This window comes from Homo sapiens, chromosome 1 (assembly GCF_000001405.40).
Source record: "Homo sapiens chromosome 1, GRCh38.p14 Primary Assembly".
In the NCBI taxonomy this organism is placed as follows: Eukaryota; Metazoa; Chordata; class Mammalia; order Primates; family Hominidae; genus Homo; species Homo sapiens.
The window spans coordinates 186,462,624-186,470,900 of record NC_000001.11 but is presented as its reverse complement, the minus strand read 5'-3'; the positions used below and the strand labels follow the sequence as shown (position 1 = coordinate 186,470,900).

The 8,277-nt window shown below is 34.7% G+C and overlaps 1 long non-coding RNA gene across 1 annotated transcript in view; it reads right to left on the bottom strand.

The window, feature by feature from the left end:
- Positions 1-609: 609 nt before the first annotated feature.
- PDC-AS1 (PDC antisense RNA 1) overlaps positions 610-8,277 on the bottom strand; it is a 35,131-nt gene continuing 27,463 nt past the window's right edge. The window contains exons 4-5 of the long non-coding RNA NR_126002.1: positions 4,534-4,613; positions 610-630 (exon numbers count right to left, since the gene is read on the bottom strand). This is a non-coding gene — a long non-coding RNA (PDC antisense RNA 1). The remainder of the gene's footprint in view (positions 631-4,533; positions 4,614-8,277) is intronic.

Below are 8,277 nucleotides of genomic sequence, written 5' to 3'. Positions count from 1 at the left end.
TTTATATCAGTATATACTCATAAGTCCTTACTTTATTCTATAGATTAAATCCATTATTATTATAATTTTGATGCTCAAATTTTTCCAGATTTGACCAGTGGAGCCATTTCAAGCTGGTTCCTGTATCCTTCTGATACATCTCCATGTTTTTTTTAGCATGCTTTAATTTTTGGCATAAGATTGTATCTTAGGCTCATTTTGTACTTTTCTGTTCCAGCCCTAGCTAGTTTCTTTCCCAACATGGCTTGATTTATTTTAGTGAAGACATTGTTTAGAAATCAAGATTTCTAAGTATATTCACTACTACTGGAGTATCATTGTTTTGGGCCCTCTTAGTGCACAGAGCTGGGAAATGTACACACATACATAGGTAGATGACAGGGATAGATAGGTGGGTGGATAGATAGGTTCAATAGATGATAGATAGACAGATAGATGATAGATAAACAGAGAGATAGTCAGATAGCTGACAGGCAGGTAGATAGAACAAGCTGTGAATTCATACCGGTATCTTCAATCCCAATCCAACATCACAGGATTCACTCTAATCTTTTCCCAATCCATGGCTGTCTTCCTGTCAGCAATGAGGAATCAGACTTCTTTTACACTCGATTTATTTGTTGCCCAATCCTTAAAAACATGTAAAGCAGTAACATATTACTAACTTACAACATCAAAAACAACAGTGCTACTTATTAAAGTTCAGTACTTGTGTATAGTTCTTTTGGTCTTTATTCGTAGGTTAAGTTTCCAAAATACTATATCAAAAAATAACCTGGGTCCATTGCTCCCATCTTCAATGTGGTTGTATTTTTGTTTGAAATAGTTTCACTTGTTTCTGTTTGTATTCCATTTTAGATTCCTCTGATTTTTATTAGATTTATTTTGTGGGTTTAGTTTGAGTATGTAAAATATTAGCAAGATTACAAAAGTTAAAACTCTATGAAAAATTATACCTGGGGAGGCATCACTACCTCATTCTCAACTCTTGATTCTCACTCACTTCTAGTAGGTAACCAATCTTATTGGTTTCTGGGTTTTTCATTCCTGCTTTTCTTTTTGCAAAAATAAACAGATATATGTATATTTTCTTGTATCTCCTTCTCTCTCTTACCCAAAAGATAGCATGCTATATATACTTCATACAATTTAACTTTGCTTTTCCAACTTAACAACATATTCTGCAAATCACTTCATATCAGCCTTAGAGATCTTTTTCTTTTAAACTTCCATAGTACTTCATTCTATGGATGTACCATAGTTAATTTAACCAACCTCCTATGGATGGACATTTAGGTTGTTCCCAATATTGTAAAATTATAAACAATGCTTCAATAAATAAATATGTGCATATACATTTTCATATAGTTAGAGATATATTTTCAGGGTAAATACTCAGAAGTGGAATTGTTAGGTCAAAAGGTAATAACATATGTAATTTTGTTAGATAATGTCAAATTTTCCTCTATAAGTTTTATACCAATTTTTATTCCTACCAGGAGTGTACGAAAGTGCTATCTCACATCTTGCCAGCAGAATATGTTGTCAAGATTTTTGAATTTTTGCTTATCTGATAAGCCAGGAATAGTATCAGTATAATTTTACTTTCTCATATTCTCATTTCTCATATTATGAGTAAAACTGAACATATTTCCTTATGTTTAAGAAGTATCTATGTATGTAGATATGTTTTATATATAATATACATATTATAGACTATATGGTGTTAGAAGTTAGAATAATGATTACTCTCAAAGACAAATGGTGACTGGCAGTGAAATATGAAAATTCAATGAGCTTATGATATGTGCACTTTTTGAATATATTTCATTGAAAGATATTTTTTAATAATGAATGTCTTCCAAATAGAAGAAGGAATGTAAAGGGATTAAAGAAAATATAATCAATCAAAAGGAAGTTTGGTAATAAGAGAGGAAGGCAAAAATTCAATCATATAAATGTCATTAAAAAATTAAAACAAAATAAAATGATAGGTGTTAAATCTATCAGACATCAAAACAAATGTACATGGACTAAATTATCCAATTAAAAGAGAGACATTAGCAATTTGTATAGAATAGACAGTACACACCTGTATGGTATTTACAAGAGACATTGGTTTTTTTTTTTATAATGGCCATCCTAACAGATATAAGGTGATATCTTAAAGTGGTTTTGATTTGCACTTCCCAGATAATGTTCAGCATCTTTTCATATACTTATTGGCCATTTGTATGTCTTCTTTGAAGAAATGTCTGTTCAAATCCTTTGTCCAGTTTTTATTTTTTATTTTTTCAATTTACTACTGCTCTGCAAAGGTTTCAACTTTTTAATAAGGTTATGTGCTTTTTGCTATTGAGTTGAAGGAGTTCCTTATATATTTTAGATATTGACCCCTAATTAGATAAGTGGCCTGCAAATATTTTCTTCCACTTCATGGGTTGGCTTTTCATTACGTTAAATGTTTCCTTTGCTTGCAGAAACTTTTTAGTTTGATGTAGTATCATTTGTCTATTTTCACTTTTGTTGCCTGTGCTTTTGGTGACATATCCAAGAAATCATTGCCAAGACTAATGTTACAAAGTTTTCCCCTGTTTTCTTCTAGGATTTTTACAGTTTCAGGTTTTATATTTAAGTCTTTAATCCATTTTGAGTTGATTTTGTATACGGTGTAAGATAAAGGTCTCATTTCATTCTTTTACATGTGGAATCCACTTTCCCAACACCATTTTGTTGAAAAAAACTGTTCTTTCCCCATCATGTGTTCTTGGCACCCTTGTTATAAATCAGTTGACCATATATGTGTGGGATTATTTCTGGACACTTTATTCTGTTGCATTGCTATATGTGTCTGTCTTTATGTGGGTACCATACTACGTTAATTACTGTAGCTTTGCAATCAACTTTGAAATCAGGAAGTGTTATGCCTACAGTTTTGTTCTTTCTAAAGACAGTTTAGGGTATTTGGGGTCCTTTGTGAATTTTAGGATTGTTTTTCCTATTTATATAAAAAATTGGATTATTGATAAGGATTAAATACAACCTGTAGATTGGTTTAGGTGGTATTAAAATTTTAACATTATTAAATCTTCCACTCTAGGAAAATGGGATGTCTTTACAATTTATTTTCAGCAATGTCTTGTAGTTTTCAGGATCTGAGTCTTTTATCTATTTAGTTGTTAAGTATTTTATTCTTTTTGATGCAATTGTAAATGAGATTGTTTTCTCTAATTCCCTTTCACATAGTTCACTGTTAGTGTATAGAGACACAACTTATTTTTGTATGTTGATTTTTATCCTGCAATACCATTAAATATATTTGTTAGCTCTAACAGTTGGGTTTTTTATTTTTTATTGATACAGAATAATTATACATATTTATGAGGTACATGTGATATTTCAATACATGCATACAATGTTTAATGATCAAATCATGGTATTTAGGATATGCATCTACTTGAATATTTATCATTTCTTTCTGTTGGGAACATTTCACATCTCTTCTAGACAATCTATCATTATTAACAGTAGTCACCCCACAGTGCTATCAAAACTTATTCCTTCTGTCTAACTCTAGTTTTGAATTCATTAACCAATTTCTCTTCATATCCTACCCCTTCCCAGCCTCTGTGAACTAGCATTCCATTCTCTACCGCCATGAGATAAACTTTTTTAGTTCCTATTTATGGGTAAGAATATGCAATATTTGTCTTTCTGTACCCGGCTTGTTTCACTTAAGATAATGTCCTATCTCTATCTCTTTATTTCTTTAAAAAAAAAAAAAGTAGAAAATGTAAGTGAAACAAATTAAGCAATAGTTAAGCAATGGAGCATTAATTATTTCCTTAGACAATTTTATGGTCATGTGATGTACTGCATACCAGTCAAAATAATAGTTACGAGATTTTAAATATCTGGTGCCATACACGTCATAGAAAATTTCGCTAAGTTGTCTATACCTCTGATTAGATGTTTGAACTCATACAAATTAAAAGGTAAATTTGGCAAAATCAACCCCTCCTTTTTTTTTATTTTTTATTTTTTATTTTTATTTTTTTATTTGAGATGGAGTCTCACTCTGTCACCCGGGCTGGACTGCAGTGGCGTAATCTCAGCTCACTGCAACCTCCGCCTCCCGGGTTCAGGCAATTCTCCCGCTTCAGCTTCCCGAGTACCTGGGACTACAGGCGCCCGCCACCGCACCCGGCTAATTTTTTGTATTTTTAGTAGAGACGGGTTTTCACCGTGTTAGCCAGGATGGTCTCGATCTCCTGACCTCGTGATCTGCCCGCCTCAGCCTCTCAAAGTGCTGGGATTACAGGCGTAAGCAACCGCGCCCGGCCTGTTTTATTCTTTTATTACCGTTTTTCCCTGAGTTTTGAATCATTCATATCTTTATTTAAAACCACTTCCCAGTTATTTCAAACTTTCTTAATTCCCGTGAATCTTTACCACTGCTCTTCTTCTGGCTTGGTTTCTGATGTCTTTCAAGGAATCATCTTTTCATATCTTACTGTATTTTTTTCCATTTACCTTTTATTCCACTTTAAATCTTCATTGCTTTGATTGGAAAGTCTCCAGAAAAACACCTTTCTTGATCTTGTTTCCATGCCCTGAAAGCCCATAAAAGATGTGTTTTTTAAAAAATCAAATCTCATTATTGAACATCTTTAGTGGAGTCAGCCTTTCACTTCTGGTATTTTGTTTTCTCATGTTACATCGTGGTCTTTAAAAGAGGAAAATGAAAATACCACTTGCATTTGTAATTTCTCGGTTTTCTGCCAGAGACTTCATAGAAATCCTTTTTGAGTTCTCTTCTGAGAATAACATTCATTTTCTGCAAAAATATGCATAATGGAATGTGAAAAGCATATTATTTGTTGCATTTGGGATGCATTCCCTGTGAAGATAGAAAAATATGTGGAGTAAAATTGAAACATGCTCAGATTTTTTAAAAAGAATATGTGGGCCAGGTGCGATGGCTCATGCCTATAATCCCAGCACTTTGGGAGGCCAAGGTGGGAAGATTACTTGAGGTCAGGAGTTTGAGAACAGCCTGGTCAAAAAGGTGAAACCTCATCTCTACTAAAAATGCAAAAATTAGCCAGGCATGGTGGTGCAGGTCTGTAATCCCAGCTACTTGGGAGGCTTAGGCAGAAGAATTGCTTGAATCTGGGAGGCAGAGTTTGCAGTGAGCTGGGATTGCACCACTGCACTCCACCCTAGATGACAGAGCAAGAGTCTGTCAAAAAAAAAAAAAAAAAAAGAAAGAAAGAAAAAGAAAGAAAGAAAGAAAAGAAAAGAAAAAGAAAGAAATATGATCCCCAAAGTTGGAGGTGGGGCCTTACTGGGAGGTGTTTAGGTCATGGGAGCAGATCCCTCCTGAATGGCTTGGTGCCCTCCCAGCAGTAAGGAGTTCACATGAGATCTGGTTGTTAAAAAGTCTGGGACCTCCCTCCTGTCTCTCTTGCCCCACTTTCACCATGTGACACACAAGCTCCCCTTTGCCTTCTGACATTAATAAAAGCTTCCTGAGGCCTCACCAGAAGCAGTTACTGATGCCATGCTTCTTGTGCAGTTTGCAGAACCATGAGCCAAATAAACCTCTTTTCTTTATAAATTGCCCAGCCTCAGGTATTCCTTTGTATCTAGTGAAACCAAATGGACTATCATGGAAGCTTCCTTCAGTACAAATAAAAATTTCTTGACGATGGAGGATAATGTTCTATCCTCCATCTTTTGACAATATTTTTCAAAAGATGGAGGATAAAACATTAAATTGCTACTCCAGAGTTAATTCTGTCCAGCAAAAAAATAACCAGCCGGTAACAAGGATGTGTTGTAAACCTTCAAAAGGAAACAACTAAGGGACTTAAGCTACGAAAATAAAAGAAAAGGAAGGCTGACTACAGAAGAATAAGTGCTACAGATATATAGAAGGCAATAAGCATTACAGAAGGCAGGTGCCTGTAATCCCAGCCACTTGGGAGGCTGAGGCAGGAGAGTTACTTGACCCCAGCAGTTCAAGGCCAGCCTGGGTAACATAATGAGACCCCTTCTCTTAAAAAAAAAAGTTATATATTCTTTTGCCAAAGACTCTCTAAAATAAATAACATCAGGAGATAATAAAATTCTGACAATAACTATCTCCACATATTTTTAGGAAAGGAGAAAGATAAAGTGGCTGATGGTGTAACATCTCAGTGAATGCCCATATGATTTGTTAAAGGATACTATAAAAAGGTAGAAAAAAGGGTATGCAATCAAATATGATAAAATAAAATTAAGAATACTATAATCCAAAGTAAAATAGGTTTCAAAAATATGTTTGAAAAGATTTAAAATTATGCATATAGTAAGAAGACAATGAAGGAAGATATGTCTCCTCTTTACATGAGTAATAAATTGCTAAGAGAAAGAGAAACTGGAATTCTTACCTTGCTTTCCTCTTCTCAACCAAGAAGAATAAAATTCAGACAAGAAAGAGTAGAACGCATATTGGAAAAGGGAAATAAAATCCTAAACAGAAGAAATTACAGGACTATCTCATTCTGGTAAGTCTTTTCAGCAGTATGGTCTTGTTTCCAAACATGCCCTTCCAGCTCTAAATTTAATTCTGCTATTTGAAGACTGAGGGACATGTTTTCAAGTTCAAAGTAAGGAAAGGTTTATTTTTAGTAAAAACGATGTCTGCCACAGCGCCTGCTTCATTTACACCCTTTATTACTAAAAGTTCCCCAGCCCCTACTGAAAGGGAGCCCTATGTAGATCACATAACCTTGCCATCTGGCTAAAGCTGATTAGACCAAGGGTGTGACCTTGGCCAAATTATGCCAATGGCATAATGAAGCAAAATGGTTTCGGCTAAACAAATCATATTCTCCCAGAATACTCATTTGGAAACATGGAAATAGCCAAGCTGTTATCAATAGATGGGAGGCTTAAAAAACTTCTATAGATAGGTGTCTTGAGTAGAGTCAAGGCCATGAGGGGGGTTATGGAAAACAGAACAAATAAGAAAATATATATTGAGGAAGCACAGGCTGTAAAGTAAAGGTGATATGGAAGGCCTTAGGAAGAGTATTAACTAGTGACAGAAGATCAGCCACGGCGGGAGGAGCAGGGTTGGGGGCAGGCAGTGCATGCGGTTAGTGGGATGGAAAGCCGCAATCTTGGTATTTGAGCCCTACTGGGAAGATCAACAGACCCCTCCCAGCTGCTAAGGTGTTTACTCCAGCATTGTATCCTCCAAGATTTTGAGCTGACATTCCATTCTCCTAGGACTAGAGTGTATAGCTGTCCTTGAACTCCTAAGGAATTCATGGTTTTCTTTCAATTCTGTCCTTACAATTAACTTTCTCACGCTCAAAAAGAAAAAAAAAAAGAGCAAGTAGATATATATGACAGCCTTGGAACCAGAAGAATCTACACTGAAGGCTGTTTAGGATTTAAAGAAAATTCTGTAATTTCATCTTTTTAGAGCAGGTAATTTAATCTGCCCTAAACAGGAGACTTTACTGGTTAACAGTGTGGACCATGGAATTAAGTCATACCTGAATTCGAACGCTGGGGTCTGCATGGACATAATGTCAACATTTGAAACATAAAAACTGTTTTCTTGCTGCTGTATATAGAAGTACCTTGTCCACAGAAGAGTGCTTTCACACAGTAGGCATTCCACTAATATTGGGGAATAAATGCATCAGTTAGATAAGTTATAAAACTTATCCAAGCCTGTCTCCTCATCTATAAAATTATACTTGACCTACCTCAGGGGATTGTTGTAAAGATTATGCGAAGTAAACAATTAGTACCTGACCTGGCATGATGAGCACTCAGAAAGTGTCCTAATTATTAATATTTTTATTTCTGTTTTCTAAGATTATTTTCAGCTGGTTTATAATGTTTGTGCCTTGTAAAGTATTTAGTATTCTTAAAATTGGATGTAAAATCATATATAAAAATCTAAACACTATATCAACATATAATTCTAATACTTTTAAATGTTTTTACATCAATCAAGAATCATATGTGTGAAATAATGACCTTTTGGGCTTTGACTCTTGACAAGTTTTCATGATCTACAAAAATTACTCAATTCATAATTGAAGCAATTAGATCAGATATGCTTGTCCAAATTGTAGGCAAGTGTGTGATGTCCGTAATGACCCCAAATCCCTCCAGTGAACAGGTGCCAGAGATAGCACAAAATAAAAAGCAAATTATGGAAATATCTGTGTTGGGAAGGTGGGGGTAGGATAGGAATTGCTATAGTAA